A 14,932-nucleotide genomic window follows, 5' to 3' on the forward strand; every position below is an offset into this window, starting at 1 on the left:
CTGATATTTTTCTCAACCCCTTAGTTGTAGTTGGGAGGACCTATTATTTACTCATGCCTTCTTACTCATGCCTGAAAGTACCACTCCTTCATTAGGCAGAGACATTTTAGCTTGCATGGGGGCCAGCATCCTTATAGCCCCAAGACAAACTCTTTGTTTCCCCCAGGTGGAAGCTATTATTAATCCAGAAGGGTGAGCAACTCAAGGAAAAATAGGCCAGTTCAGATCCATCTTAAGGATCCCACTGCTTTTCTTAACCAGAGACAATATCCCCTAAAGCCAAGGCTAGGAAGGGGCTAGAAGCCATTATTAATAACCTGAAAATGCAGGGCCTCCTCGAACCTTGTAGCAGCCCCTGCAACACCCCAATATTAGGAGTGCAAAAACCCAATGGAGAATGGAGACTAGATCAGATCCTCCACATCATTAATAAGGCCATAGTTCCAACTCATCCAGTGGTCCCTAATCCCTATACTTTGCTAACCCAAATACCTGAGGGAACTAAATGGTTCAGTCCTAGATCTAAAGGATGCCTTTTTCTATATAGCGTTACATCCTGACTCTCAATACCTGTTTGCCTTCGAAGATCCCTCTGGCCAGATGCCCAGTTAACATGGACAGTGCTGCCTCAGGGATTTTGAGACAGTCCCCACTTGTTTGGACAGGTACTGTCAAAGGACCTCTCTGAGTTTTCCCATCCTCAGGTCAGGGTCTTGCCATATGTAGATGACATACTGTTTTGTGCCCCAACTGAGGAAGCATCTCAGGAAGGCAGTGAAGCTCTTCTTAATTTCTTAGCCAACAGAAGATATAAGGTTTCAAAATCTAACATCAAGCTTTGCCAAACCTCAGTGAAGTACCTGGGTGTAGTGTTGTCTGAAGGGACCAGAGCATTAGGGGAAGAAAGGAGTAAGCCAATTTCCTCCTTCCCCCTCCCTAAAACCTTCAAGCAACTAAGAGGATTTGGGGGCATTACAGGATTCTGCAAACTCATCTTGGTATGGTGAGATAGTTTACCCCCTATATCACCTCATAAAAAAAACTCAAGGCCAGGCACGGTGGCTCACACCTGTAATCCCAGCACTTTGGGAGGCCGAGGTGGGCGGATCATGAAGTCAAGAGATCAAGACCATCCTGGCCAACATGGTGAAACCCCGTCTCTACTAAAAATACAAAAATTAGCTGGGCATGGTGGCACACGCCTGTATTCCCAGCTACCCAGGAGGCTGAGACAGGAGAATCGCATGAACCCGGGAGGTGGAGGTTGCAGTGAGCTGAGATCACGCCACTGCGCTCCAGCCTGGGTGACAGCAAGACTCCGTCTCAAAAAAAAAAAAAAAAAAAAAAAAAAAAAGAAAGAAACTCAAGTGGCTAAAACTCATTTCCTAACCTGAGAACCTGAAGCTCAAAAGGCCTTTAATTAGTTAAAACAAGCCTTACTTAAGGTACCAGTCCTCAGCCTTCCCATAGGGAGGGTCTTCAATCTTTTGTATCAGAAAGGAAGGGAATGGCCCTGGGAGTTTTAACTCAAGCCCGAGGACCAGCTCAACAGCCAGTGGGCTCCCTAAGTAAGGAACTTGATTTGGTGGCTAAAGAATGGCTATCATGCCTCTGAGCCATTGCCAAAGTGGCCCTACTGATACCAGAGGCCACCAAATTAACCCTGGGAAATAGCTTAACTGTTTATACCCCACATAATGTAGCACGATTGCTGTCCTCTAAGGGATGCCCTTGGCTAACAGAAAGCTGACTCCCTAAATATCAGGCTCTGATATTAGAAGGGTCTACAATCCAGTTAAAAACTTGCTCTTGCCTAAACTCAGCCACTTTCCTCCCCAAGGAAACTGAGGAACCTGAACATGACTGTGAACAAGTTGTGGTACAGACCTATGCAGCCAGGGAAGCTCTCAGGGAAACTTCCCTAGAAAATCCAGATGGGACGCTCTTCACAAATGGAAGTTCCTTTGTGGAACAAGGAGTCTGTAAGGTGGGATATGCAATGTACACTCTGAATGACATTGAAAGTGCACCCCTCTCCCCAGGCACAAGCATTCAACTAGCTGAACTGATAGCTCTTACAAGAACACTTGAATTAAGCAAGGGAAAGGTAGCTAACATTTACACAGAATCCAAGTATGCTTTCTTAGTTCTTTATGCTCATGCTGCCATTTGGGAGGAAAGACACTTTCCTACTACTAAAGATAACCTATAAAATACCATCAGGAAATTAACAAGTTATTATCCTCAGTTTTCCTTCCACGAGAGGTAGCAGTGATGCATTGTAGGACATCAGAAGGGAGCAGATGAAGTAGCCTAAGGAAACAAGTTAGCTGATGAGGCAGCCAAGTCAGCAGCAAGTCAGCCTCAGGGCCTCAATGCACCTGAAGCCCCCTCTAATCTGGGAAGGCTCCATAAGAGAAATTAAGTCTCAGTACTCCCCTGCAGAGGCAGAGTGGGCCACTTCTCAAGGGTATACTTTTCAGCTCTCAGGATGGCTACAGTAAGAGGACGGCAAACTCCACTTGCCAGCCTCCCGCCAGTGGAAAGTCCTTAAGATCCTTCATCAAGCTTTTCACTTGGGAAAGGATAAAACTTATCAGTGTGCCCAGAGATTTTTCAGGAGAGAACTTAATAACAGTCAAGCAGCTTGTTAGTGCTTGTGAAGTCTGTCTTAAAAATAATCCCTTTGGCTGGGCACGGTGGCTCACACCTGTAATCCCAGCACTTTGGCGGGTGGATCACTTGACATCAGGAGTTCGAGACCAGCCTGGCCAACATTGCAAAACCCCATCTCTACTAATAATACAAAGAAATTAACCAGATGTGGTGGTGCACGCCTGTAATCCCGGTTACTTGGGAGGCTGAGGCACGATAATTGCTTTAACACAGGAGGTGGAGGTTGCAGTGAGCTGAGATCACACCACTACACTGAAGCCTGAGCAACAGAGTGAAACTGTGTCTCAAAATAATAATAATCCCCTTAACAGGCATCTCCTTCCTCCTCAAACCTAAAGGATGGGAAGCCATCCAGGGAAGGACTGGCAGATAGACTTCACCCACGTGCCAAAGAAGAAGGACATCCAATACATCCTGGTATGGGTAGATACTTTCACTAACTGGATAGAAGCATTTCCATGCTGTACAGAAAAGGCCTCCAAGGTAATAAAAGTGTTTGTTACTTAATGAAATAACTCCCCACTTTAGTCTACCTAAGTGCCTTCAAGGTCACAATGGCCCCTTGCTTAAGACAGCTGTCACATAAGGGGTCACAAAGGCACTAGGCATACAGTATCATCTCCATTGTGCTTGGAGACCCCAGTCCTCAGGAAAGGTAGAGAAGACAAACGATATTATCAAAAGACATCTCAGAAAACTGTTCCAAGAAACTAACCTTCCTTGGGTCACTCTTCTTCCCATGGCTTTACTGTGGGTAAGAAATACCCCTTCAAAGTTAGGTCTGACCCCGTTTTAAATGCTGTATTAACAGCCTTTCCTTACAAGTGACTTTCTATTAGACCAAGACACCTCTAAATTGGTTAAGCATGTAACCTCCCTAGCTCACTTCCAACAGGAATTAACACAACTAGCAGAAGCCCAACCCCCCAAAATAGGACCATCATTATTTAACCCAGGATATGTGGTATTAATAAAGACTCTGCCCTCTGTCTCCCTACCTAAGCCCAAGTTAGGAAGGGCCCTACACTGTTCTTTCAACCCCTCAGCGATAAAAGTCACAGGAATGGACTCCTGGATGCATCACTCAAGTCAAAGCCTGGAAACCTGAGAGAGAGAGCAACCCCAGACAGCCCAGAGGAATGTCCTGGATATCCATGTGAAGAAATAGGAGATCTTAAGCTGAAAATCATAAAAGATAAGTAAATGAGTAAGGGCTATTCATCCTACTCAGTCCCACTCCTACCTTATCAGATACTTTCAGTTATTTCTACTTTTCCTCTCGAGATTCGCTGTGAGATACTAGAACTTCTTTTTGATGCATACTTGTGGGAAGATTTTGATTATCCATGAGATTACAGTTGTAACTTCATAGACTCCCAAAGGGAAATTCTTGGTGAGTAAAATTTAAGATGGAAATTATCTACTACACCACCCTTGTGTAAATTGTTATACTTACTCTGCTATTTGCAGTAGGACTATATACTGTGGTACCTGCAATGTAGAATTCTGGATGGAATATTCTAATTGCTGTAATATTCTGCCTAATTTTTACAACAGGATTAATAATTACAGGAAAGATTTAGCCAAGGTTAACACTAAAGTTACTCTAGCCACCCAATAATGTGTTCCTCCCAATCACATCACAAGTCATAAAAGATAGCCCAGGCCTACAATTATCTTCTAATGGCAAGTCAAGGGGGAATATATGTTTTTTTTCAAAGAAAAATGTTGCTTTTATATTACACTTCTGGTAAAGTACAGCGACATCTGGTGGAGGCAACTAGTATTACAACCCATCAAATGGCTATCAGGTATCAAACTCTACTGTCATGGTTATAGCCTATAGTACTCCCACTAATAATGGGATTCTTTTTTTTTATTTTTTATTTTATTATACTTTAAGTTTTAGGGTACATGTGCACATTGTGCAGGTTAGTTACATATGTATACATGTGCCATGCTGGTGCGCTGCACCCACTAACTTGTCATCTAGCATTAGGTATATCTCCCGATGCTATCCCTCCCCCCTCCCCCCACCCCACAACAGTCCCCAGAGTGTGATATTCCCCTTCCTGTGTCCATGTGATCTCATTGTTCAATTCCCACCTATGAGTGAGAATATGCGGTGTTTGGTTTTCTGTTCTTGCGATAGTTTACTGAGAATGATGATTTCCAATTTCATCCATGTCCCTACAAAGGACATGAACTCATCATTTTTTATGGCTGCATAGTATTCTATGGTGTTTATGTGCCACATTTTCTTAATCCAGTCTATCATTGTTGGACATTTGGGTTGGTTCCAAGTCTTTGCTATTGTGAATAATGCTGCAATAAACATACGTGTGCATGTGTCTTTATAGCAGCATGATTTATAATCCTTTGGGTATATACCCAGTAATGGGATGGCTGGGTCAAATGGTATTTCCAGTTCTAGATCCCTGAGGAATCACCACACTGACTTCCACAATGGTTGAACTAGTTTACAGTCCCACCAACAGTGTAAAAGTGTTCCTATTTCTCCACATCCTCTCCAGCACCTGTTGTTTCCTGACTTTTTAATGATTGCCATTCTAACTGGTATGAGATGGTATCTCATTGTGGTTTTGATTTGCATTTCTCTGATGGCCAGTGATGATGAGCATTTTTTCATGTGTTTTTTGGCTGCATAAATGTCTTCTTTTGAGAAGTGTCTGTTCATATCCTTTGCCCACTTTTTGATGGGGTTGTTTGTTTTTTTCTTGTAAATTTGTTTGAGTTCATTGTAGATTCTGGATATTAGCCCTTTGTCAGAGGAGTAGGTTGTGAAAATTTTCTCCCATTTTGTAGGTTGCCTGTTCACTCTGATGGTAGTTTCTTTTGCTGTGCAGAAGCTCTTTAGTTTAATCAGATCCCATTTGTCAGTTTTGGCTTTTGTTGCCATTGCTTTTGGTGTTTTAGACATGAAGTCCTTGCCCCTGCCTGTGTCCTGAATGGTAATGCCTAGGTTTTCTTCTAGGGTTTTTATGGTTTTAGGTCTAACGTTTAAGTCTTTAATCCATCTTGAATTGATTTTTGTATAAGGTGTAAGGAAGGGATCCAGTTTCAGCTTTCTACATATGGCTAGCCAGTTTTCCCAGCACCATTTATTAAATAGGGAATCCTTTCCCCATTGCTTGTTTTTCTCAGGTTTGTCAAAGATCAGATAGTTGTAGATATGCGGCATTATTTCTGAGGGCTCTGTTCTGTTCCATTGGTCTATATCTCTGTTTTGGTACCAGTACCATGCTGTTTTGGTTACTGTAGCCTTATAGTATAGTTTGAAGTCAGGTAGTGTGATGCCTCCAGCTTTGTTCTTTTGGCTTAGGATTGACTTGGCGATGTGGGTTCTTTTTTGGTTCCATATGAACTTTAAAGTAGTTTTTTCCAATTCTGTGAAGAAAGTCATTGGTAGCTTGATGGGGATGGCATTGAATCTGTAAATTACCTTGGGCAGTATGGCCATTTTCACGATATTGATTCTTCCTACCCATGAGCATGGAATGTTCTTCCATTTGTTTGTATCCTCTTTTATTTCCTTGAGCAGTGGTTTGTAGTTCTCCTTGGAGAGGTCCTTCACATCCCTTGTAAGTTGGATTCCTAGGTATTTTATTCTCTTTGAAGCAATTGTGAATGGGAGTTCACTCATGATTTGGCTCTCTGTTTGTCTGTTGTTGGTGTATAAGAATGCTTGTGATTTTTGTACATTGACTTTGTATCCTGAGACTTTGCTGAAGTTGCTTATCAGCTTAAGGAGATTTTGGGCTGAGACAATGGGGTTTTCTAGATATACAATTATGTTGTCTGCAAAGAGGGACAATTTGACTTCCTCTTTTCCTAATTGAATACCCTTTATTTCCTTCTCCTGCCTAATTGCCCTGGCCAGAACTTCCAACACTGTGTTGAATAGGAGTGGTGAGAGAGGGCATCCCTGTCTTGTGCCAGTTTTCAAAGGGAATGCTTCCAGTTTCTGCCCATTCAGTATGATATTGGCTGTGGGTTTGTCATAGATAGCTCTTATTATTTTGAAATACGTCCCATCAATACCTAATTTACTGAGAGTTTTTAGCATGGAGGGTTGTTGAATTTTGTCAAAGGCTTTTTCTGCATCTGTTGAGATAATCATGTGGTTTTTGTCTTTGGCTCTGTTTATATGCTGGATTACATTTATTGATTTGCGTATATTGAACCAGCCTTGCATCCCAGGGATGAAGCCCACTTGATCATGGTGGATAAGCTTTTTGATGTGCTGCTGGATTCGTTTTGTCAGTATTTTATTGAGGATTTTTGCATCAATGTTCATCAAAGATATGGGTCTAAAATTCTCTTTTTTTGCTGTGTCTCTGCCTGGCTTTGGTATCAGAATGATGCTGGCCTCATAAAATGAGTTAGGGAGGATTCCCTCTTTTTCTATTGATTGGAATAGTTTCAGAAGGAATGGTACTAGTTCCTCCTTGTACCTCTGGTAGAATTCGGCTGTGAATCCATCTGGTCCTGGACTCTTTTTGGTTGGTAAGCTATTGATTATTGCCACAATTTCAGCTCCTGTTATTGGTCTATTCAGAGATTCAACTTCTTCCTGGTTTAGTCTTCAGAGAGTGTATGTGTCCAGGAATTTATCCATTTCTTCTAGATTTTCTAGTTTATTTGCATAGAGATGTTTGTAGTATTCTCTGATGGTAGTTTGTATTTCTGTGGGATCGGTGGTGATATCCCCTTTATCATTTTTTATTGCATCTATTCGATTCTTCTTTTTTTCTTTATTAGTCTTGCTAGCGGTCTATCAATTTTGTTGATCCTTTCAAAAAACCAGCTCCTGGATTCATTAATTTTTTGAAGGGTTTTTTGTGTCTCTATTTCCTTCAGTTCTGCTCTGATTTTAGTTATTTCTTGCCTTCTGCTAGCTTTTGAATGTGTTTGCTCTTGCTTTTCTAGTTCTTTTAATTGTGATGTTAGGGTGTCAATTTTGGATCTTTCCTGCTTTCTCTTGTGGGCATTTAGTGCTATAAATTTCCCTCTACAAACTGCTTTGAATGCGTCCCAGAGATTCTGGTATGTTGTGTCTTTGTTCTCGTTGGTTTCAAAGAACATCTTTATTTCTGCCTTCATTTCGTTGTGTACCCAGTAGTCATTCAGGAGCAGGTTGTTCAGTTTCCATGTAGTTGAGCGGTTTTGAGTGAGATTCTTAATCCTGAGTTCCAGTTTGATTGCACTGTGGTCTGAGAGATAGTTTGTTATAATTTCTGTTCTTTTACATTTGCTGAGGAGAGTTTTACTTCCAACTATGTGGTCAATTTTGGAATAGGTGTGGTGTGGTGCTGAAAAAAATGTATATTCTGTTGATTTGGGGTGGAGAGTTCTGTAGATGTCTATTAGGTCCGCTTGGTGCAGAGCTGAGTTCAATTCCTGGGTATCCTTGTTGACTTTCTGTCTCATTGATCTGTCTAATGTTGACAGTGGGGTGTTAAAGTCTCCCATTATTAATGTGTGGGAGTCTAAGTCTCTTTGTAGGTCACTCAGGACTTGCTTTATGAATCTTGGTGCTCCTGTATTGGGTGCATATATATTTAGGATAGTTAGCTCTTCTTGTTGAATTGATCCCTTTACCATTATTTAATGGCCTTCTTTGTCTCTTTTGATCTTTGTTGGTTTAAAGTCTGTTTTATCCGAGACTAGGATTGCAACCCCTGCCTTTTTTTTGTTTTCCATTTGCTTGGTAGATCTTCCTCCATCCTTTTATTTTGAGCCTATGTGCGTCTCTGCACATGAGATGGGTTTCCTGAATACAGCACACTGATGGGTCTTGACTCTTTATCCAATTTGCCAGTCTGTGTCTTTTAATTGGAGCATTTAGTCCATTTACATTTAAAGTTAATATTGTTATGTGTGAATTTGATCCTGTCATTATGATGTTAGCTGGTTATTTTGCTCGTTAGTTGATGCAGTTTCTTCCTAGTCTCGATGGTCTTTACATTTTGGCATGATTTTGCAGCAGCTGGTACCGGTTGTTCCTTTCCATGTTTAGTGCTTCCTTCAGGAGCTCTTGTAAGGCAGGCCTGGTGGTGACAAAAATCCCTTCAGGAGCTCTTGTAAGGCAGGCCTGGTGGTGACAAAATCTCTCAGCATTTGCTTGTCTGTAAAGGATTTTATTTCTCCTTCACTTATGAAGCTTAGTTTGGCTGGATATGAAATTCTGGGTTGAAAATTCTTTTCTTTAAGAATGTTGAATATTGGCCCCCACTCTCTTCTGGCTTGTAGGGTTTCTGCCGAGAGATCCGCTGTTAGTCTGATGGGCTTCCCTTTGAGGGTAACCTGACCTTTCTCTCTGGCTGCCCTTAACATTTTTTCCTTCATTTCAACTTTGGTGAATCTGACAATTATGTGTCTTGGAGTTGCTCTTCTCAAGGAGTATCTTTGTGGCGTTCTCTGTATTTCCTGAATCTGAACGTTGGCCTGCCTTGCTAGATTGGGGAAGTTCTCCTGGATAATATCCTGCAGAGTGTTTTCCAACTTGGTTCCATTCTCCCCATCACTTTCAGGTACACCAAATCAGACGTAGATTTTGGTCTTTTCACATAGTCCCATATTTCTTGGAGGCTTTGCTCATTTCTTTTTATTCTTTTTTCTCTAAACTTCCCTTCTCGCTTCATTTCATTCATTTCATCTTCCATCGCTGATACCCTTTCTTCCAGTTGATTGCATCGGCTCCTGAGGCTTCTGCATTCTTCACGTAGTTCTCGAGCCTTGGTTTTCAGCTCCATCAGCTCCTTTAAGCACTTCTCTGTATTGGTTATTCTAGTTATACATTCTTCTAAATTTTTTTCAAAGTTTTCAACTTCTTTGACTTTGGTTTGAATGTCCTCCCGTAGCTCAGAGTAATTTGATCGTCTGAAGCCTTCTTCTCTCAGCTCGTCAAAGTCATTCTCCATCCAGGTTTGTTCCGTTGCTGGTGAGGAACTGCGTTCCTTTGGAGGAGGAGAGGCGCTCTGCTTTTTAGAGTTTCCAGTTTTTCTGTTGTGTTTTTTCCCCATCTTTGTGGTTTTATCTACTTTTGGTCTTTGATGATGGTGATGTACAGATGGGTTTTTGGTGTGGATGTCCTTTCTGTTTGTTAGTTTTCCTTCTAACAGAGAGGACCCTCAGCTGCAGGTCTGTTGGAGTACCCTGCCGTGTGAGGTGTCAGTGTGCCCCTGCTGGGGGGGTGCCTCCCAGTTAGGCTGCTTGGGGGTCAGGGGTCAGGGACCCACTTGAGGAGGCAGTCTGCCTGTTCTCAGATCTCCAGCTGCATGCTGGGATAACCACTGCTCTCTTCAAAGCTGTCAGACAGGGACATTTAAGTCTGCAGAGGTTACTGCTGTCTTTTTGTTTGTCTGTGCCCTGCCCCCAGAGGTGGAGCCTACAGAGACAGGCAGGCCTCCTTGAGCTGTGGTGGGCTCCACCCAGTTCGAGCTTCCCGGCTGCTTTGTTTACCTAATCAAGCCTGGGCAATGGCGGGCGCCCCTCCCCCAGCCTCGCTGCCGCCTTGCAGTTTGATCTCAGACTGCTGTGCTAGCAATCTGTGAGACTCCGTGGGCGTAGGACCCTCCGAGCCAGGTGCAGGATATAATCTCGTGGTGTGCCGTTTTTTAAGCCCGTTGGAAAAGCGCAGTATTTGGGTGGGAGTGACCTGATTTTCCAGGTGCCGTCCGTCACCCCTTTCTTTGACTCAGGAAGGGAACTCCCTGACCCCTTGCGCTTCCCAAGTGAGGCAATGCCTCGCCCTGCCTTGGCTCGCACACGGTGTGCGCACCCACTGACCTGCGCCCACTGTCTGGCACTCCCTAGTGAGATGAACCCGGTACCTCAGATGGAAATGCAGAAATCACCCGTCTTCTGTGTCGCTCACGCTGGGAGCTGTAGACCGGAGCTGTTCCTATTCGGCCATCTTGGCTCCCAGCGGGATTCTTAATATTCATATTCAAACCCTATATTCTAAACCTTCTTGTAAAATTTATCTCTTCTTGCCTAGAAGCTATTAAACTCCAAATGGTGCTGCAGATGGAACCACACATGGACATGCCTTTCTTCCAAGAACCTTTAGATCAACTCCAGAAGGAGCCTTAGCTGCTGTTCCCCACATGATGCCCCTCTTCAGCAGGAAGTAGCCAGAAAGAGTTGTCCTCCAATACCCCTACCAGCTGTAGTGTTTCCACTCCTCAGGGGGGAAATATGATACAGGGGGTAGAAAGAAATTATTAAGGCAGATAGTGAGGGTAAAAGAGTCCTCAGCAGAGCTTCCCTTTTAACAAAACGCAGTACAAGAAATTATTTTTTTCCAGCCAGGCACGGTAGCTTATGCCTGTAATCGCAGCACTTTGGGAGGCTGAGGCAGGCAGATCATTTGAGGTCAGGAGTTTGAGACCAGCCTGGGCTAACATGGTGAAACCCCATCTTTACTAAAAATACAAAAATTAGCTAGGTGTGTTGGGGCACACCTGTAATTCCAGCTACTCAGGGGGCTGAGGCAGGAGAATCACTTGAACCCACTGCACTCCATCCTGGGTGACAAAGCATTACTCTGTCTCAAAAAAAAAATTATTTTTTTCCAACAAAGAGAAGCCTGAAAAATCAAGCTGCAAACATAGATAAGCGAGCTGGAATCTTGCACAGGGGAATGTCAGCAGCTGTGTCAATAGAAAAGGGCTACCTGTGGGCCAGGCATGTCCAACATAGAGGCTCCATCTTCCCTTTTTTTGTTTGTTACCACATGTACAGTAAAGGAATGGGCAGTGTGGCACAGGCCAGGCAGAGGACCCACCTGCATAATAAAATTTGGTTAGGGGTGACCAGCTTTTCATACCCTATGCAAATGGCACAGCTATTCCTAACCAGTTTTTAGTGTCTATGCACACCTGGTCTAATCAATCTTTTGCACCCTATGTAAATCAGAAACTGCCTCCTCACCAGGCACCTATAAAAACCCCTGCATTTCACTGCAGATCCAGCAACTTATTTCTCTAGGACCCCTCTCTCTAGCAGGGAGCTATTCTTTCTTTCACCTATTAAACTTACGCTCTCTTAAACTCACTCTTTGTGTGTCCATATCCTTTATTTCCTTGGCCATGAGACAATGAACCTTAGGTATCACCCTAGACAACAGGGCTGCTTCAATACCAGAATCTCTGGGACACAGCTAAGGTAGTGTTAAGAGGGAAATTTATAGCATTAAATACCCACATCAAAAAGTTAGAAAGATCTCAAATTAACAACCTAATATCACAACTAGAGAAACTAAAGAAACAAGAGGAAACCAACCCCAAAGCAAGCAAAAAACAAGAAATAACCAAAATCACAGCTGAACTGAAGAAAATTTAGATGCAAAAAACTATTCAAAAGATCCACAGCCTGGATATGGTGGCTAATGCCTGTAATCCCAGCAATTTGGGAGGCTGAGGTGGGATGGTTTCTTGAGCTCAGGAGTTTGAGACCAGCCTGGGCAACACAGTGAGACCTTGTCTCTACAAAATATCAAAAAATTAGCTGGGTATGATGAAGTGCACCTATAGTTCCAGCTACTTGGGAGGCTGAGGTGGGAGGATTGCTTGAGTATGGGAGGTTGAGGCTGCTGTGAACTGAGATCACGCAACTGCGCTCCAGCCTGGGTGACAGAGTGAGACCCTGTCTCAAAGAAGAGAAAAAAGATCAACAAATACAGGAGTTGTTTTTTTGAAAAAGTTAATGAGATAGAGACTGCTAGCTAGATTAATAAAAGAAAGACAGAAGATACAAATAAAAACAATTAGATATGACAAAGGGGATGTTACCACTGACCCCACAGAATTACAAAAAACATCAGAGACTACTACGAACATACGAGGTATAAAACCTAGAAGAAATGGATAAATCCATGGACACATACAACCACCCAAGACTGAACCAGGAAGAAACTGAATCCCTGAATAGACCAATAACAAGTTCTGAAACTGAATCAGTAATAAAAAGCCTGCCAACCAAAAAAAGCCCAGGACAAGACAGAGTCATAGCCAAATTCTATCAGGTGTATAAAGAACTGGTACCATTCCTATTGAAACTATTCCAAAAATTGAGGAAGGACTCCTCCCTAACTCATTCTTTGAGGCCAGCATCATCCTGATACCAAAACCCACCAGAGACACAACAACAACAACAAAATTTCAGGCCAATATCCTTGATGAACATAGATGCAAAAATCCTCAAAAAAATACTGGCAAATCAAATCCAGCAGCACATCAAAAAGTTTATCCACCATGATCAAGTAGGCTTTATTCCTGGGATGCAAGGTTGGTTCAACATATGCAAATCAATAAATGTGATTTATCACATAAACAGAACTAAAAACAAAAACCACATGATCATCTTAATAAATGCAGAAAATGCTTTTGATAAAATTCAACATCATTCATGTTTAAACCTCTCAATAAACTAGGCATTTAAGGAATAAACCTTAAAATAATAAGAGCCATCTATGAGAAACCCATTGCCAACATCATGCTGAATGGGCAAAAGCTGGAAGCATTCCCCTTGAGAACTGGAACAAGACAGGATGCCCACTCTCACCACTCCTATTTGATATAGCACTGCAAGTCCTAGCCAGAGCAATCAGGCAGGAGAAAGAAATGAGAGGCCTCCACATAGGAAGAGAGGAAGTCAGACTATCTCTGTTTGCAAACAATGTGATTCTACACCTAGGAAACGCCATAGTCTCTGCCCAAAAGCTCCTAGATCTGATAAACAACTTCAGCAAAGTTTCAGGATACAAAATCAATGTACAAAATTCAATAGCATTTTTATACACCAACAACCTCCAAACTGAAAGCCAAATCAAGAACACAATCCTGTCCACAATAGCCACAAAAAGAATAACATACCTAGGAATACAGCTACGAGGAAGGTGAAAGAGCTCTACAACAAGAGTTATAAAACACGGCTTAAAAAAAAAAATCAGAAATGACACAAACAAATGGAAAAACATTCCATGCCCGTGATAGGAGGAATCAATACTGTTAAACTGGCCATATTGCCCAAAGCAATTTATAGATTCAATGCTATTCCTATCAAACTACCAATGCCATTCTTCACCAAATTAGAAAAAAGTATTTAAAAATTTATAAATAACCTTTAAAAAAAGCCTGAATAGCCAAGGAAGTCCTAAGCAAAAAGAACAGAGCTGGAGGCATTATGTTACCCAACTTAAAACTATACTACAAGGCTACAGTAACCAAAACAGCATGGTACTGGCACAAGAACAGATACATAGGCCAATGGAACAGGTTAGAGAGGCCAGAAATAATGCCACACGCCTACAACCATCTGATCTTTGACAAAGTTGATGAACATAAACAACAGGAAAAGATTCCCTATTCAATCAATGATGCTGAGATAACTGGCCAGCCATATGCAGAAGATTGAAACTGAACCCCTTCCTTACACCATCTACAAAAACAAACTCAGGATGCATTAAAGACTTAAATGTAAAACCTAAAATTATAAAAATTCTGGAAGATAGATAGCCTAGGAAATACACTTCTGGACATAGGACTGGGCAAAGAGTCCATGACAAAGATGCCTAAAGCAAATGTGACAGAAACAGTAATTGACAAATGAGACCCAATTAAACTAAAGGGCTTTTGCCTAGCAAAGGAAACTATCAACAGAGTAAACAGATAAAGTATAGAATCAGAGAAAATATTTTCAAACTATGTAACCAACAAAGGTCTACTATCCAGAATCTATAAGGTACTTAAATTTATAAGCAAAAAACCACCCCATTAAAAAGTAGGCAAACGACATGAACAGATACTTTTCAAAAGAAGACATAGTGGGGTGGAGCCAAGATGGCCAAATAGGAACAGCTCCAGTCTACAGCTCCCAGCATGAGCGACGCAGAACACAGGTGATTTCTGCATTTCCAACTGAGGTACGGGGTTCATCTCACTGGGGAGTGTCGGAAAGTGGGTGCAGGACAGTGGGTGCAGCGCACCGAGTGTGAGCCAAAGCAGGGCGAGGCATTGCCTCACCCAGGTAGCGCAAGGGGTCAGGGAATTCCCTTTCCTACTCAAAGAAAGGGGTGACAGACGGCACCTGGAAAATCGGGTCACTCCCACCCTAATACTGCGCTTTTCCAACAGTCTTAGCAAACGGCACACCAAGAGATTATATCCCGCACCTGGCTTGGAGGATCCTAGGCCCAAGGAGCCTCACTCATTGCTAGCACAGCAGTCTG

At 42.4% G+C, this 14,932-nt stretch overlaps 1 protein-coding gene across 69 annotated transcripts in view, besides 1 other annotated feature; it reads right to left on the minus strand.

Annotated features, from left to right (window-relative positions):
• The window catches only part of XRRA1 (X-ray radiation resistance associated 1), a 108,182-nt gene that overhangs the window by 31,999 nt on the left and 61,251 nt on the right, over positions 1-14,932 (minus strand). The window lies entirely within an intron of this gene.
• Positions 9,746-10,330: an enhancer, noted in NCBI's record as "NANOG-H3K27ac-H3K4me1 hESC enhancer chr11:74593699-74594283 (GRCh37/hg19 assembly coordinates)". NCBI's record gives its function as "activates a minimal SCP1, AML or CMV promoter by ChIP-STARR-seq in primed H9 embryonic stem cells {active_cell/tissue: H9 hESC(primed)}" and the evidence as "EXISTENCE:reporter gene assay evidence [ECO:0000049][PMID:30033119]".

This window comes from Homo sapiens, chromosome 11 (genome assembly GCF_000001405.40).
Source record: "Homo sapiens chromosome 11, GRCh38.p14 Primary Assembly".
Lineage (NCBI taxonomy): Eukaryota > Metazoa > Chordata > Mammalia > Primates > Hominidae > Homo > Homo sapiens.